The following is a 17,468-nucleotide window of genomic DNA, read 5'->3' on the forward strand; positions in this document are numbered from 1 at the left end:
GAAGGTGGGGAAGGTGGGTAGAGTCAGAGCAGACACAAGTGAATAATATGCATGAAAACTGACTCCATTACAAGTAGAGTCCTTAGTGTTCAGAACCAGGAGGAATACTGATTACATAGGAATGTTACAGGCCCCAGGATTCCTGTTCATATTTAATGTTTTCTCTCCATACTCTTACAAATGGCCATTTGAACATTAGAGAACAGGTCTTTAAAGAAGGCAGAGAATTGCTCCCTTGGGTATGGATCTAGAATAGAGAATAATTTGGGAGAATTGTAAGACTATTTCAATGGTCCTTATCCCCATTTTTCATCATCAGTCTTAGGACATGTATCCCATAGAGGAAATACAACTTTAAAATTAGCAAAATTCAACTTTTGAAAGTGTATTTTACTTTGTTGTCTCTCTTTGCATGGTGTATCTTTTCCACTTGGTATGGTCCTAAAGACAAGATCCTTATGCTATCTGTACACTTACTCTATTTTAAAATCACCATCTTTTGCTCCCAGCTACTTTATAACTTGGGGGAGCAGGGTTTGCCGTTCAAAGCTTATCTTTTACAAAAGGAACTTTAACAAGATCTCCAAAAAGCTCCCTCGAGTGGCTTTTAGATAGGCTCTTTTCTGTTTGTCTTTGTAATCAAACTACATTAGATCCTATCCAACACCCTGTCTATCTAGTATGATGCTATGATCCTAGGTGTGACTACTGAAAGTAAAACATAATGCTTAGATCTTGATATTTATAAAAACATGATTAAAAGATATCTCTGCCTCTAAAAATAGGGTCTTGACCTCACTGTCTCAGTCAAATTCCATTTCAGCCAGTGAGATTTCACTGGACTTCCCCAGATGCATTAACAACTGCAATCAACTATGTTTTTCTTTACTTTTTCCCTTAATAGGTAGAACTGAGCATGATCTTGGAGAAAATCTGCATACATTACTGATCTCTGAACCATTTACCCTTCACGTGCCTCTTTTTCCGTGTATGTGCCTCTTTCTCCTTGTATGTAAAATGAGTGAAAGAAAGAGGAGAGCTAGATGATACCATTGTAACTCTTGTATTTCAAGACACTCGTTTCTGCCTTGTCTCAGATTACAATCATTTAGAGATACAGAAATAGGTATTACAGTCAGAATCCACGTTTTAGAGTATATCTGCTGACCCCATGTCTGTGGAAGATACTGAGATGCAGGTACTGAGAATGGGCCTCAAAATTTTTCTGAAGACTGTGCTCCAGGAAGCTATGCTCAACCAAATGAAATTGGCCCTACTTGTCATCCTAGCATAGCAGGTTTCGGTTTATGAAAGACAGAGAATATGCAGCTCTCTCAGACACCTAAATATGAAGTGGCTTTCCACAGATCTCTTTTCGAAGGGTAAGTAGGAAGAATATCTTGACCTGTTTTTGTTCTCTGTGGCAGTTCCTCTAGCTCCCAACTGGATTACTTTTTGCTTGTTCTCAGAAATATGCTTCTTCTTTTGTAATCGGCAGTCGCAATGATTTGTATGACAGCTGCTAGCCCAAGAGAGAGTTCCAGAAGAGGGCTACCTAACAGGTGCTGTGGCATTTAGAAGAGGAATGGAGCCATTGTCAACGCACAGCTTGCAGGTGTGGAGAACAAAGTATATATGTGTTGGAGAGGTGGTGGGTGGGAAATAAATACCCCTGCCTCTCTCTCCTCTCACCCTTTGATCTTCTGATCTTTTGATTACTCCCATTTGATGAACCTCAGGGCAAAGGAATATGACTTAACCAATCCGTAAAGGTCAGTCCCTCCGCCAGCCCCTTCCCCAGATGCACAGAACAAGATGCAAAATGATAGACAATGGATCCGAATGAAAATATTCACTGTAGAACTATCTATTTACAGAACTAGGAATAAACTAAAAATGATAAAAACCAAAATCATCTTAGGATAACTTTTTAACCAGGCATTATACTTTTTAAAGGCAAGACCTTTATCTTCATCTCTGACTTACAGTACTAGGCACATGCAAGAGAGGCTCATCAGTGCTGTGTGTGGAAACTAAGAAAAAAAAAGGGGGGAGCTCAATAAATATTGGCAAATTGGTTAAATGAACAAAACACATGTGAGGGGGAGGAGGGAAATGTGCAATGGGATATTTTAGATAGTGCAGAGAGTTGGGGAAAAAAAGTTTTTGAGCCTAAGAAACCCTGGAAGCATTTTTTAATTCTCTAATATATGCTTGCTTTCTTGTGGTTTGCTCTTTCCGCTAAAAAGCAGAATGCATAAAACATTGTGATTAGTTAAGCATTATTACTTAGGTTCCAAGTAATTCGTATATAAATCTAAATTACTACTCTTCCTCCGTTCTGCTTCCCCTTCTGTTTGGTCAAATCCCTGTGGGAGAGAGTAGCATTCCTGTCGTGGGTAAAATAATTTCTATGGAAAATTTTCAAAATGCAATTTCTATAAACATTATGTGAAGATATGATTTATTTCTGGATTCAGTCCTTGTGCTTGCATCATCTTCCAATTTATCATCAAGTTCTCTGTGTGCCAGTTCTGTTTTTAAGGATCTGTTCATATCAGTTGTAATCTGAGAGGGTAAACTTCCACTAGGAGGATTGAAGCAAAAAAACAAGAAAATGTGTCCCAGAAGGCAGTGGGTGCACTGAAAAGAAGATGGGACTTTATTCCCAGTTCTAACACTGCTATAGCAAGTAAAGTGACATTGGAAAGTCCTTAACTTTTCCACCTTTTTTTTTTTATTAGACAGAGTCTCACTCTGTTGCCCAGGCTGGAGTGCAGTGGAGTGATCTGGGCTCACTGCAACCTCTGCCTCCTGGGTTCAAGTGATTCTCCTGCCTCAGCCTCCTGAGTAGCTGGGATTACAGGTGCCCACCACCACACCCAGCTGATTTTTGTATTTTTAGTAGAGATGAGGTTTCACCATGTTGGGCAGGCTGGTCTCGAACTCTTGACCTCAGGCGATCCACCCACCTCAGCCTCCCAAAGTGCTGGGATTACAGGCATGAGTCACCACGCCCAGCCAAGTCCCCTATTTTTAAAAATATTAGCCACTAGATAATTCAGTATGAGTCCACACAACCACTGACAGTGAAAACAGGGACATACTTCTTGGGGCCTTTCTCCTGGTCTGCATGCACAACCCCACCACAGGAGTAAGAGGCGGGGGTACACTTACCACTTACGTTGTCACGGCTAGTTATCACCTCAGTAAAAACAAGACTACCATGCCTAGTGCACAGAAGGTCACAGGACACAGGGCTGTGGTTTCTCCTCAAAGAGTGACATTCGTTTAGAACTTAGTTCATCCCTCTTATCCCAGACTGCTTGAGAATTAAGGAGGGAAGGAAAAGAAGAGGGTCTCTAGCTCTGATCTTTACTGTGTTGGGAAGATCCCCACTCTAATCCTGTTGCCACTCCTTTTTTTTTTTAAGACAATAATAAGGTCTCCTTTTCTAGAACACTCAGCTCATAAGTTTTTAGACCTGTCCTTGGTGGCCGGACGCGGTGGCTCACGCCTGTAATCCCAACACTTTGGGAGGCCAAGGCAGGCGGATCACGAGGTCAGGAGATCGAGACCATCCTGGCTAACATGGTGAAACCCTGACTCTATTAAAAATAACAAAAATTAGCCGGGCATGGTGGCAGGCACCTGTAGTCCCAGCTACTCGGGAGGCTGAGGCAGGAGAATGGTGTGAACCCAGGAGGTGGAGGTTGCAGTGAGCCGAGATCGTGCCACTGCACTCCAGCCTGGGAGACAGATCGAGACTCCGTCTCAAAAAAAAAAGTTTTTAGACCTGTCCAACTGACATTTAACACCATGAGATGGTGAACTTGGGGAAGACATGAGACTAGTAACACACACACACAGATTTTCAAGAGCTTGACATTCCATTATTTACTCACCTAGCAAATACTTATTGGGTGTCTTTTGTGCCAGGCACTGTACTAAATGCACAGAGCTGAATAGGATACCATCTGTGCTCGTCAAGATCTCCGTTTAATGAAGGAGAAGGCAAACAACAAACAGAATTTCAAGACATAAGATGTTGGCTGTGGGTTTGTCAAAAAAAAAAAAAAAGAAGAAGAAAATTCAAGAGAAACATCTTTGTATCAGGAAGCCCTTGTGATTTCCTTAGAATCACACTTTGTCAGCAATCCTAGCCTCACTGCTTGCTGTTCGTATAACCTTGGACAGGCTTCCTAAGAGTTCTGGACCTCAGTGTCCTCATCTGAAAATGGGGGCAAAGAATAAGCTCCCAAAGTTTCCTTACTGCTCTAAGATGAGTACTGAGCTCAATCTTGAAGGAGTGTCTGTATAGAATTTTGAATTGGAAAGAGGAGCAGGGTGCCCTTAGGAGAGAGAACTGCATGAAGAAAGCAAGGATATGCAAATGAATAGAGCATAAAGAAAGGTGAGAGTAAAGAGAATAAGGTACCGACACATCTCCCTGCTTCCTCCTTCACCCGCTTACGTGTATTTTCAATCAGCCATCAGAGTGACCTATTAAAATGTATGTCAGCTCATGGTCACTACTCTGCCCAAAACCCTCCAGTGACTTTCCATGTCATTTGGAAAAAATCCAAAGTTCTCAAAACCTATAAGACCTAAGTGACCTGCATCCCCCATCCCAACCTCTCTTTCTGGCCCTTTCCCCATTAACTTCCCCCTGCTTTGCTTTACTCCAGACATGCTGGTCTCCTCACCAATGCTCACCAGTTACCACCTAAAACATTTTACTTTATTTTCTCCGCCTCTAGAACATAAGCAGCATGGGAGCATAGCCTTTTGTCTGCTTTATTATGCATCCTCAAAGTTCAGAATGTGCATGTCTAGTAACATATTTGTTAAATGCATTTTCTTATTTACAAGTAAGGAAACTAAGATCAAAGAGAATGCAAATGAAGTCACACTGCTCTTTAGGAGAGGGTGGACCAGTATGTGCACAGATTTTCTGTTTCTCTGCCCCAAAGGTAGATAGAATGATGGGCCCTGAAGATGGCTATATGGCAGAAGGAACTTTGCAGATGTGATTAAGAATCTTGAGATGAGAATATTATCCTGGTTTATTCTGTTTAGTCCAATGTAATCATAGAGGTTTTTCTAACAGGGGAGCAGGAGAGTCAGTCTAAGAAGGAAATGTGATGATGGAAACAGAGGTTGGAAGATGGAAGAGGACCCAGAGTCAAGGAATGCAGGTAGAAAAGAAAAGCCTGGATTCTCCCCTAAAGCCTCCAGATGGAACACAGCCCTGCCTCCACCTTGATTTCAGGACTTCTTACCCCAAGAATCGTAAGCTAATACATTTGTTTTTGTTTTTGTTTTTGTTTTCTTTGAGATGGAGTCTTGCTCTGCTGCCCAGGCTGGAGTGCAGTGGACTGATCTTGGCTCACTGCAGCGTCCATCTTCCGGGTTCAAGCGATTCTCCTGCTTCAGCCTCTCAAGTAGCTGGGATTACAGGCGCCCACCACACCCGGCTAATTTTTTTTTTTTTTAATACTTTAAGTTTTAGGTTACATGTGCACAACGTGCAGGTTTGTTACATATGTATACATGTGCCATGTTGGTGTGCTGCACCCATTAACTCGTCATTTAGCATTAGGTATCTCTCCTAATGCTATCCCTCCCCCCTCCCCCCACCCCACAACCGTCCCCAGTGTGTGATGTTCCCCTTCCTGTGTCCATGTGTTCTCATTGTTCAATTCCCACCTATGAGTGAGAACATGCGGTGATTGGTTTTTTCTCCTTGCAATAGTTTGCTGAGAATGATGGTTTCCAGCTTCATTCATGTCCCTACAAAGGACATGAACTCATCATTTTTTATGGCTGCATGGTATTCCATGGTGTATATGTGCCACGTTTTCTTAATCCAGTCTATCATTGTTGAATATTTGGGTTGTTTCCAAGTCTTTCCTATTGTGAATAATGCCACAATAAACATACGTGTGCATGTGTCTTTATAGCAGCATGATTTATAATCCTTTGGGTATATACCCAGTAATGGGATGGCTGGGTCAAATGGTATTTCTAGTTCTAGATCCCTGAGGAATTGCCACACTGACTTCCACAATGGTTGAACTAGTTTACAGTCCCACCAACAGTGTAAAAGTGTTCCTATTTCTCCACATCCTCTCCAGGACCTGTTGTTTCCTGACTTTTTAATGATCACCATTCTAACTGGTGTAAGATGGTATCTCATTGTGGTTTTGATTTGCATTTCTCTGATGGCCAGTGATGATGAGCATTTTTTCATGTGTTTTTTGGCTGCATAAATGTCTTCTTTTGAGAAGTATCTGTTCATATCCTTTGCCCGTATTTTGATGGGGTTGTTTGTGTTTTTCTTGTAAATTTGTTTGAGTTCATTGTAGATTCTGGATATTAGCCCTTTGTCAGATGAGTAGATTGCAAAAGTTTTCTCCCATTCTGTAGGTTGCCTATTGACTCTGATGGTAGTTTCTTTTGCTGTGCAGAAGCTCTTTAGTTTAATTAGATCCCATTTGTCAATTTTGGCTTTTGTCGCCATTGCTTTTGGTGTTTTAGACATGAAGTCCTTGCTCATGCCTATGTCCTGAATGGTATTGCCTAGATTTTCTTCTAGGGTTTTTATGGTTTTAGGTCTAACATGTAAGTCTTTAATCCATCTTGAATTAATTTTTGTATAAGGTGTAAGAAAGGGATCCAGTTTCAGCTTTCTACATATGGTTAGCCAGTTTTCCCAGCACCATTTATTTATTTATTTATTTTTATTTATTTATTTTTTTTTTTTTTGAGACGGAGTCTCGCTCTGTCGCCCAGGCCAGACTGCGGACTGCAGTGGCGCAATCTCAGCTCACTGCAAGCTCCGCTTCCCGGGTTCACGCCATTCTCCTGCCTCAGCCTCCCGAGTAGCTGGGACTACAGGCGCCCGCCACCGCGCCCGGCTAATTTTTTGTATTTTTAGTAGAGACGGGGTTTCACCTTGTTAGCCAGGATGGTCTCGATCTCCTGACCTCATGATCCACCCGCCTCGGCCTCCCAAAGTGCTGGGATTACAGGCGTGAGCCACCGCGCCCGACCAGCACCATTTATTAAATAGGGAATCCTTTCCCCATTGTTTGCTTTTGTCAGGTTTGTCAAAGATCAGATAGTTGTAGATATGTGGCATTATTTCTGAGGGCTCTGTTCTGTTCCATTGGTCTGTATCTCTGTTTTGGTACCAGTACCATGCTGTTTTGGTTACTGTAGCCTTGTAGTATAGTTTGAAATCAGGTAGCATGATGCCTCCAGCTTTGTTCTTTTGGTTTAGGATTGACTTGGCAATGTGGGCTCTTTTTTGGTTCCATATGAACTTTAAAGTAGTTTTTTCCAATTCTGTGAAGAAAGTCATTGGTAGCTTGATGGGGATGGCATTGAATCTATAAATTACCTTGGGCAGTATGGTCATTTTCATGATATTGATTCTTCCCACCCATGAGCATGGAATGTTCTTCCATTTGTTTGTATCCTCTTTTATTTCACTGAGCAGTGGTTTGTAGTTCTCCATGAAGAGGTCCTTCATATCCCTTGTAAGTTGGATTCCTAGGTATTTTATTCTCTTTGAAGCAATTGTGAATGGGAGTTCACTCATGATTTGGCTCTCTGTTTGTCTGTTGTTGGTGTATAAGAATGCTTGTGATTTTTGCACATTGATTTTGTATCCTGAGACTTTGCTGAAGTTGCTTATCAGCTTAAGGAGATTTTGGGCTGAGACGATGGGGTTTTCTAGATATACAATCATGTCATCTGCAAACAGGGACAATTTGACTTCCTCTTTTCCTAATTGAATGCCCTTTATTTCCTTCTCCTGCCTGATTGCCCTGGCCAGAACTTCCAACACTATGTTGAATAGGAGTGGTGAGAGGGGGCATCCCTGTCTTGTGCCCGTTTTCAAAGAGAATGCTTCCAGTTTTTGCCCATTCAGTATGATACTGGCTGTGGATTTGTCATAGATAGCTCTTATTATTTTGAGATACGTCCCATCAGTACCTAATTTATTGAGAGTTTTTAGCATGAAGGGCTGTTGAATTTTGTCAAAGGCCTTTTTTGCATCTATTGAGATAATCATGTGGTTTTTGTCTTTGGTTCTTTTTATATGCTGGATTACATTTATTGATTTAGCGTATGTTGAACCAGCCTTGCATCCCAGGGATGAAGCCCACTTGATCATGGTGGATAAGCTTTTTGATGTGCTGCTGGATTTGGTTTGCCAGTATTTTACTGAGGATTTTTGCATCAATGTTCATCAAGGATATTGGTCTAAAATTCTCTTTGTTGGTTGTGTCTCTGCCAGGCTTTGGTATCAGGATGATGCTGGCCTCATAAAATGAGTTAGGGAGGATTCCCTCTTTTTCTATTGATTGGAATAGTTTCAGAAGGAATGGTACCAGCTCCTCCTTGTACCTCTGGTAGAATTCGGCTGTGAATGCATCTGGTCCTGGACTTTTTTTGGTTGGTCAGCTATTAATTATTGCCTCAATTTCAGAGGCTGTAATTGGTCTATTCAGAGATTCAACTTCTTCCTGGTTTAGTCTTGGGAGGGTGTATGTGTCGAAGAATTTATCCATTTCTTCTAGATTTTCTAGTTTATTTGCATAGAGGTGTTTATAGTATTCTCTGATGGTAATTTGTATTTCTGTGGGATCAGTGGTGATATCCCCTTTGTCATTTTTTATTGCGTCTATTTGATTCTTCTCTCTTTTCTTCTTTATTAGTCTTGCTAGCGGTCTATCAATTTTCTTGATCTTTTCAAAAAACCAGCTCCTGGATTCATTGATTTTTTGAAGGGTTTTTTGTGTCTCTATTTCCTTCAGTTCTGCTATGATGTTATTTCTTGCCTTCTGCTAGCTTTTGAATGTGTTTGCTCTTGCTTCTCTAGTTCTTTTAATTGTAATGTCAGAGTGTCAGTTTTAGATCTTTCCTGCTTTCTCTTGTGGGCATTTAGTGCTATAAATTTCCCGCTACACACTGCTTTGAATGTGTCCCAGAGATTATGGTATGTTGTGTCTTTGTTCTCATTGGTTTCAAAGAACATCTTTATTTCTGCCTTCATTTTGTTATGTACCCAGTAGTCATTCAGGAGCAGGTTGTTCAGTTTCCATGCAGTTGAGCAGTTTTGAGTGAGTTTCTTAATCCTGAGTTCTAGTTTGATTGCACTGTGGTCTGAGAGACAGTTTGTTATAATTTCTGTTCTTTTACATTTGCTGAGGAGTGCTTTACTTCCAAGTATGTGGTCAATTTTGGAATAGGTGTGATGTGGTGCTGAAAAAAATGTATATTCTGTTGATTTGGGGTGGAGAGTTCTGTAGATGTGTATTAGGTACGCTTGGTGCAGAGCTGAGTTCAATTCCTGTATATCCTTGTTAACTTTCTGTCTCGATCTGTCTAATGTTGACAGTGGGGTGTTAAAGTCTCCCATTATTATTGTGTGGGAGTCTAAGTCTCTTTGTAGGTCACTCAGGACTTGCTTTATGAATCTGGGTGCTCCTGTATTGGGTGCATATATATTTAGGATAGTTAGCTCTTCTTGTTGAATTGATCCCTTTACCATTATGTAATGGCCTTCTTTGTCTCTTTTGATCTTTGTTGGTTTAAAGTCTGTTTTATCAGAGACTAGGATTGCAACCCCTGCCTTTTCTTCTTTTCCATTTGCTTGGTAGACCTTCCTCCATCCCTTTATTTTGAGCCTATGTGTGTGTCTGCACGTGAGATGGGTTTCCTGAATACAGCACACTGATGGGTCTTGATTCTTTATCCAATTTGCCAGTCTTTGCCTTTTAATTGGAGCATTTAGCCCATTTACATTTAAGGTTAGTATTGTTATGTGTGAATTTGATCGTGTCATTATGATGTTAGCTGGTTATTTTGCTCATTAGTTGATGCAGTTTCCTCCTAGCCTTGATGGTCTTTACAATTTTGCATGTTTTTGCAGTGGCTGGTACCGGTTTTTCCTTTCCATGTTTAGCGCTTCCTTCAGGAGCTGTTTTAGGGCAGGCCTGGTGATGACAAAATCTCTCAGCATTTGCTTGTCTGTAAAGTATTTTATTTCTCCTTCACTTATGAAGCTTAGTTTGGCTGGATATGAAATTCTGAGTTGAAAATTATTTTCTTTAAGAATGTTGAATATTGGCCCCCACTCTCTTCTGGCTTGTAGAGTTTCTGCTGAGAGATCCGCTGTTAGTCTGATGGGCTTCCCTTTGAGGGTAACCCGACCTTTCTCTCTGGCTGCCCTCAACATTTTTTCCTTCATTTCAACTTTGGTGAATCTGACAATTATGTGTCTTGGTGTTGCCCTTCTCGAGGAGTATCTTTGTGGCATTCTCTGTATTTCCTGAATGTGAATGTTGGCCTGCCTTGCCAGATTGGGGAAGTTCTCCTGGATAATATCCTGCAGAGTGTTTTCCAACTTGGTTCCATTCTCCCTGTCGCTTTCAGGTACACCAATCAGACGTAGATTTGGTCTTTTCACATAGTCCCATATTTCTTGGAGGCTTTGTTTGTTTCTTTTTATTCTTTTTTCTCTAAACTTCTCTTCACGCTTCATTTCATTCATTTTGTCTTCCATCACTGATACCCTTTCTTCCAGTTGATCGCATCGGTTACTGAGGCTGTGCATTCGTCATGTAGTTCTCGTGCTGTGGTTTTCAGCTCAGTCAGGTCCTTTAAGGACTTCTCTGCATTGGTTATTCTAGTTATCCATTTGTCTAATTTTTTTTCAAAGTTTTTAACTTCTTTGCCATTGGTTCGAACTTCCTCCTTTAGCTCGGAGTAGTTTGATCTTCTGAAGCCTTCTTCTCTCAGCTCGTCAAAGTCATTCTCCATCCAGCTTTGTTCCATTGCTGGTGAGGAGCTGTGTTCCTTTAGAGGAGGAGAAGCACTCTGATTTTTAGAGTTTCCGGTTTTTCTGCTCTGTTTTTTCCCCATCTTTGTGGTTTTATCTACCTTTGGTCTTTGATGATGGTGACTTACAGATGGGTTTTTGGTGTGGATGTCCTTTCTGTTTGTTAGTTTTCCTTCTAACAGTCAGGACCCTCAGCTGCAGGTCTGTTGGAGTTTGCTGGAGGTCTACTCCAGACCTTGTTTGCCTGGGTATCAGCAGCGGTGGCTGGAGAACAGCAGATATTGGTTAACTGCAAATGTTGCTGCCTGATCGTTCCTCTGGAAGTTTTGTCTCAGAGGAGTACCTGGCCGTGTGAGGTGTCAGTCCGCCCCTACTGGGGAGTGCCTCCCAGTTAGGCTACTTGGGGGTCAGGGACCCACTTGAGGAGGCAGTCTGCCCGTTCTCAGATCTCAAGCTGCATGCTGGGAGAACCACTACTCTCTTCAAAGCTGTCAGACAGGGACATTTAAGTCTGCAGAGGCTATTGCTGTCTTTTGTTTGTCTGTGCCCTGCCCCCAGAGGTGGAGCCTACAGAGGCAGGCAGGCCTCCTTGATCTGTGGTAGGCTCCACCCAGTTCGAGCTTCCTGACCTCTTTGTTTACCTACTCAAGCCTGGGCAATGGCGGGCACCCCTCCCGCAGCCTCACTGCCGCCTTGCAGCTTGATCTCAGACTGCTGTGCTAGCAATGAGTGAGGCTCTGTAGGCATAGGAACCTCCGAGCCAGGTGAGGAATATAATCTCCTGGTGTGCCGTTTGTTAAGCCCATTGGAAAAGTGCAGTATTGGGGTGAGAGTGACCCAATTTTCCAGGTGCCATGTGTCACCCCTTTCTTTGACTAGGAAAGGGAATTCCCTGACCCCTTGCGCTTCCTGGGTGAGGTGATGCCTCGCCCTGCTTCGGCTCATGCACGGTGCGCTGCACCCACTGTCCTGCACCCACTGTCCAGCACTCCCCAGTGAGATGAACCCGGTACCTCAGTTGGAAATGCAGAAATCACCCGTCTTCTGCGTCGCTCACGCTGGGAGCTGTAGACTGGAGCTGTTCCTATTTGGCCATCTTGGCTCCACCCCACACCCGGCTAATTTTTTTGTATTTTTAGTTGAGACGAGGTTTTGCCATGTGCTGGCTAGGTTGTTCTCGAACTCCTAACTTCAGGTGATCCACCTGCCTTGGCCTCCCGAAGTGCTGCGATTACAGGTCTGAGCCACTGCACCCAGCCATTTGGGTTGTTGTAAGCCTTCAAGTTTGTGACACCTTGTTAGAGAAGCAATAGGAAACTAATACAAGTTCTATTCACTGCATCTTAAGAGAAGAAAGCTGGGCAGGTAAGGCAGGGACAGTTTGTTGATTCCTTATTTAATAAGTAGCTATTGAGCACCCCTCCTCACTTTTTTGGTGGAACAGTGTGTAGTAATATGAGGTAAAGAACATAATTTGTGCTCTCAGAAGCTTACTAGTTAGCAGCTACAGCTATGGCTAGTGAATGGCCAGCCTTGAATTCAAGGGGGTAGGATTTGCACCTGACTCGAGACCAATGCTTAGACTTCCAGATGCAACAGCTGGGAGCCTCCTTCCAGGATTTGATCTCAACACAGACAAGAGTGTTTATTCACTCATTTATTAGTTGACTCAACCACCATTTAGTGTATACGTTGATATATCCATTTTAGCAAAGAAAACAGGGAGGACATGAAAGGGGAACTTTTACATCTTAATGTAATTTTTTTAAAAAAGCAGTAGGATTAAGTGTGTGTGTGTAATTTAATTTGAAGATTTCCAGTATTTTTTCATGTTTTAATTAATTGTTTTGAGACAAGGTCTCACTGTCTCACCCAGGCTAGAGTGCACAGGTAAAATCATAGCTCACTGTAGCCTCAATCTCCTGGCCTCAAGTAGAATCTCCCACCTTAGCCTCCCAAATAGCTATGACTACAGGCATGTGCCACCACACCCAGGCAATTTATTTTATTTTATTTTTTTATTTTAGAAAAGGGTTCTCACTGTGTTTCCCAGGCTGATCATGATCTCTTGGCATCAAGCAGTCCTCCCACCTCAGCCTCCAAAGTGCTGGGATTACAGGTCATCAAGCAGTCCTCCAGCCTCAGCCTCCAAAGTGCTGGGATTACAGGTGTGTGCCATGGCATCCAGCCCAGTATTTTTTTTTTTTTTTAATTAAAAAAATGGTGGCTCACGCCTGTAATCCCAACACTTTGGGAGGCCGAGGTGGGTGGACCACGAGGTCAGGAGTTTGAGACCAGCCTGGCCAACATGGTGACACCCCATCTCTACCAAAATACAAAAAAATTAGCCAGGCATGGTGGCGTGCACCTGTAATCCCAGCTACTCTGGAGGCTGAGGCAGAAGAATTGCTTAAATCCCAGGGGCAGAGGTTGCATGAGCCAAGATCATGCCACTGCACTCCAGCCTGGGCGACAGAGCAAGACTCCGTCTCAGGGGAAAAAAAAAAAAAGGAAATATTTTCCGAAAGCTAGTCTGAGCCAGGCAGTATGAAAGACACTGAAGATAAAAGAGCAGTCTTGAACTCTACACACTTACAGCTAAATAGGAGTGACAAGTGAACAGGGGATTGCCCCACCTGAAGCTCTTGTGACCAGAGAGAGAAACAAGGTTTCTGTGGAGGCCCAGAGGGGTCCTTCAACCCTGCTTGGAGGACAGTACTGGGGTGGAGAGGGTCAAGTAGAGATTCCCAAAAGTAACATCTCAACTGAGCAGTCTGATCCTTAGCAAGGTTCGGGCCCTTTGGCCTTGCCTACCCTGGCCTTGGTTGTTTTGCTAACCAGAGCCAGCTGTGTTGTGGGTGTCTTTTCCTCTCTCCTGGTGTCCCCGCCTGGACCCTTCACTCTTTGCCTCCCACGCCCTGGCATTACACAGGCATTTTCAGACCCTTTCCCAGGATTCTGTTTATAGCCAGCATCCTGTGCAGCTCATGAGGAGTCATAAGCCCATGATGAGATAAGAGGAGGAACTTGGAAGAAAACATGATGAACATGGACAAAGCCAAGGGGAAAAATATGCATGTTTTCATTTGCTTTTCCCAAACAGGATGCTTTCACACCACTGTCTATAATTCAAACAGTATGTTTCTGCTTAACATACTGTGAAGATGTGAAGCCACATGAGAAATGTTCTCCCAAGATGGAGTTAGTGTCCCTCCTGGAGCTCCCTCAGCACCCTGTGCTCCCACATTTCAAAGGATCACTCACACCCTAGCCCATTTCCTCACTGTCTAATGTTCTCCACAGACCCCTAAGATCCTTCTAGAGCCATGACCAGCCTTGCTTGAGGTTGTATGGCATATACCCTGTGCACAGTGAATGCTGAATAAATAACTGCTCCGTTGAACTGAATAGAATAAAACAGCATAGATACTAGTTTGGTCAAATTTTAAAACATCAGAACTTCAACTCTCATTTTGGAAGGTGGGGATGTGATTAAAATTCAATTTTAATTGATTATTTCTCAGAAAACATAAAAATGTTCCTACAATTCTCAAATAGCTATTTACCAATTTCATTTTCAACCTGATTTGACACTCTGATGAGGGGGGAAGGTTGAGTACATCATAAAAACTTCAGTTTACCTCTAACTTGTGATTGTGTGTGAAGAAAGAGCACAGGATATAGAAGAGGGAAAAATGCTTTGAAAACTCTAAAAGTGGGTTGCAAATGTTAGTTTGTTTTCACACAATGGACACAAAAATCGCCCGTGCATTCAGTCACTTGCAGACTGAAGCAAACAGCTGTATTTGGATGAGGCAGAGGAATGGTGGGAGGAACTGTTTCTTGTTGCACTGAGCATTCAGTTGTTCTGGGCTTTGCCCAAGGAAAAACAGATGGTTTTCCTTGCTGGAATTGGTCAGGGAGGGCAGGGGAAGTGCCCAGGCTTTGCTTTCCCATAATTGACAGTACAGAGTTTTAAGAAATATTTGAACAGTAGCACTGTTCTGGTACCTACTTGGGAAAGCCAATTCTTGATTTTAAAAAATCAAATCAAAGCAGTGACAGTGACATATTCTGCTTCCATTTCATACCATTCCTGACTTCTTAGAAGCAGTTGATGCTAGTGGTCTTCTCTGGCAGGGATTGCTAGCCCTGGCTTTGCAGCAGCCCATGGAGCTGCCAGTTCTCCAGGGTAATTGCAAAATACTGCTAAGTATTCTAAAAATGAAATTAAATATTCATTTTATTTTAATTTACATGTGCCATCCAATACTTTTAGAAGATGTCAGTACCATGGAATGACATGACCAACAATAATATGTTGCAACTCTGAGATACAGCTAGAAATTCTCCGAATAAGATGCTGATGGTCCTGCAGTCCAATGCTGTGTGATTTTCACTGTGGCCAGCTATACAAGACTTAGCGTATACTTCTCTCTGTGTAACTGTAAAAAATTTTGTAAGTCTAAGAGGGTAATATATTCTTTCATAAAACCTCAATCTAGTGAGTTCTAATCATTCTTGATCTTTCTCAAATAAATACTAGTCAAATCTTTCCCAATAACTAAGTAACTAAGCATTCACGTTTTACAACTGTAATGTAGTTTTGGTATGAGAAAACTATTTCCTGGTCTCCAGGATCTAGAAAGTAAACATGTAACAAACAATTAGGAATGTGGTATCGGGTAGTCAGATGTTCTACACGTCTCCAGCCTAAGCTGTCCACTTCGGATTTCTTGCTCTTTTCCTTTTTGCTTAAGCATATCTTGGTATGTTGCCTGGAAGTTTATGTGTGTTACTACAGCAGAACAAAGAATTATGTAATATAAAGCCCAACTTGTTTTTCTTTTCCCTACCAGCTGTACTATAACTTAGACAAAACTCAACCATTTTCTTTCATTATGTACAGTGGCTATTAAAAAGAAAGGATGTAGAAAAATTTTTTTCAGGAAACAGTGGAAAACTAATGCGTCATGATCTGCTTAACAGGGGACTGTAAATAGAAGCAAGTCCAGATCATGGAAATTGCTTCTTTAAAATATTTTTTTTCAATTTTAAAAGGAATACATTCACATGGTTTAAAAAAACCCCTCAAACTAAAGAAGAATACAGAATAAGAAGTAAAAGTTCTACCCTCCAACCTACTACCCCAACTCCTGAATCCCACTGCCAAGAGAAACAGTCATTTGTTGTGCATCTTTCTAGAAGAATTCTATGCATATTACAGAGGTGTCACAAATACCCACATGCTTTCTTCCCTTACAAGCTCTGTGACTTGATTTTTCTCTTTACTGTGCTTTAAGCATCTTTGCATATTAGTAAACATATACACCTCAGTTAAAAAAAATCAACAGCTGGGTGTAGTGGTGCATACCTGTAGTCCCAGCAATTTGGGAGGCAGAGAGGCAGGAAGATCCCCTGAGCCCAGGAATTCTAATCTACCCTGGGCATCTTGGCAAGACCCTGTCTCTTAAGAAAAAAACTATCGCAAGAACAAAAAACCAAACACCGCATATTCTCACTCATAGGTGGGAATTGAACAGTGAGATCACATGGACACAGGAAGGGGAATATCACACTCTGGCGACTGTTGTGGGGTGGGGGGAGGGGGGAGGGATAGCATCGGGGGATATACCTAATGCTAGATGACGAGTTAGTGGGTGCAGCGCACCAGCATGGCACGTGTATACATATGTAACTAACCTGCACAATGTGCACATGTACCCTAAAACTTAAAGTATAATAAAAAAAAAAGAAAAAAATCAAAAGCTTTATAGTATTCTGTTGAGTAAGAGTATTATTATTTGTTTATACAACCTCTTTTTGGTGAACATTTGAATTGTGTTTAGATAGTTACTAATGCAAACAATACTTCCAGTGAACTTTTGTAAATATATATTTGTATATATAAGAGAATAAATCTTATACCTGCAGAGTAAATTTCTAAAAGTGAATCACTAATTCTGAGATTATGTGCATCTCCAGAGATGTTAACAAACATACACACCCAGCAACAGTGCAAGACAGTGTATTTCCCAACTGCTCCCTCACTGAGATTTTTAAAAAACATATAAATACTATTATAAGTTACCTCTGGAGTTAAAGAATAACTTTTGCTTTTTACTTTCATAGACATCTGTACTATGTAAACTTGATATAGTGAGGATGTTTTCTTTTGTAATTAAAAGATTAAAGAGATTCAGAATACTTGTTTGTAATTGGTTTTGGAATGAAATTTCACTTGGAAAATAAAGGCCTAGAATATGAGACTATTCATCAATAGAAAACCATTGTAGGGAGCAGTTAACAGGTAAAGCTCTATTTAATAAGGGCAAGCTGATGGCAGGGAAAGGAACAGACCTTAAAAAGGACTCACCTGTGAGAATTGGAGACGGTAACCCTGTGGTATCAAAATGCAGGAGACCAGAGATAGCTATAAATCTCTTGCAGTGTTACTGCCTCCGCATGAAGTCATAATCCCTAGAATGAGAATTTATTTTTCATGATACACCGATAATGCAAGGGACAATGATCAGGAAGTACTGCACTTAGTCTTTCTTTCTCATACCTAAAATGTTTTTCATTTTATGCTTTTTTAGAATAGAGTGTACTT

At 41.7% G+C, this 17,468-nt stretch overlaps 1 long non-coding RNA gene across 4 annotated transcripts in view; it reads left to right on the forward strand.

Moving 5' to 3' along the window:
• Positions 1-17,468, forward strand: part of WARS2-AS1 (WARS2 antisense RNA 1) — a 135,578-nt gene that overhangs the window by 5,059 nt on the left and 113,051 nt on the right. For 2 of the 4 annotated variants that reach the window (NR_125975.1, NR_125976.1), the window contains exons 3-4: positions 1,499-1,615; positions 5,111-5,292. This is a non-coding gene — a long non-coding RNA (WARS2 antisense RNA 1). Of the gene's footprint in view, positions 1-1,498; positions 1,616-5,110; positions 5,293-5,338; positions 5,955-17,468 lie in introns of those variants that run through there. The other 2 variants (NR_125977.1, NR_125974.1) reach the window with 2 other exon arrangements.

This window comes from Homo sapiens, chromosome 1 (assembly GCF_000001405.40).
Source record: "Homo sapiens chromosome 1, GRCh38.p14 Primary Assembly".
In the NCBI taxonomy this organism is placed as follows: Eukaryota; Metazoa; Chordata; class Mammalia; order Primates; family Hominidae; genus Homo; species Homo sapiens.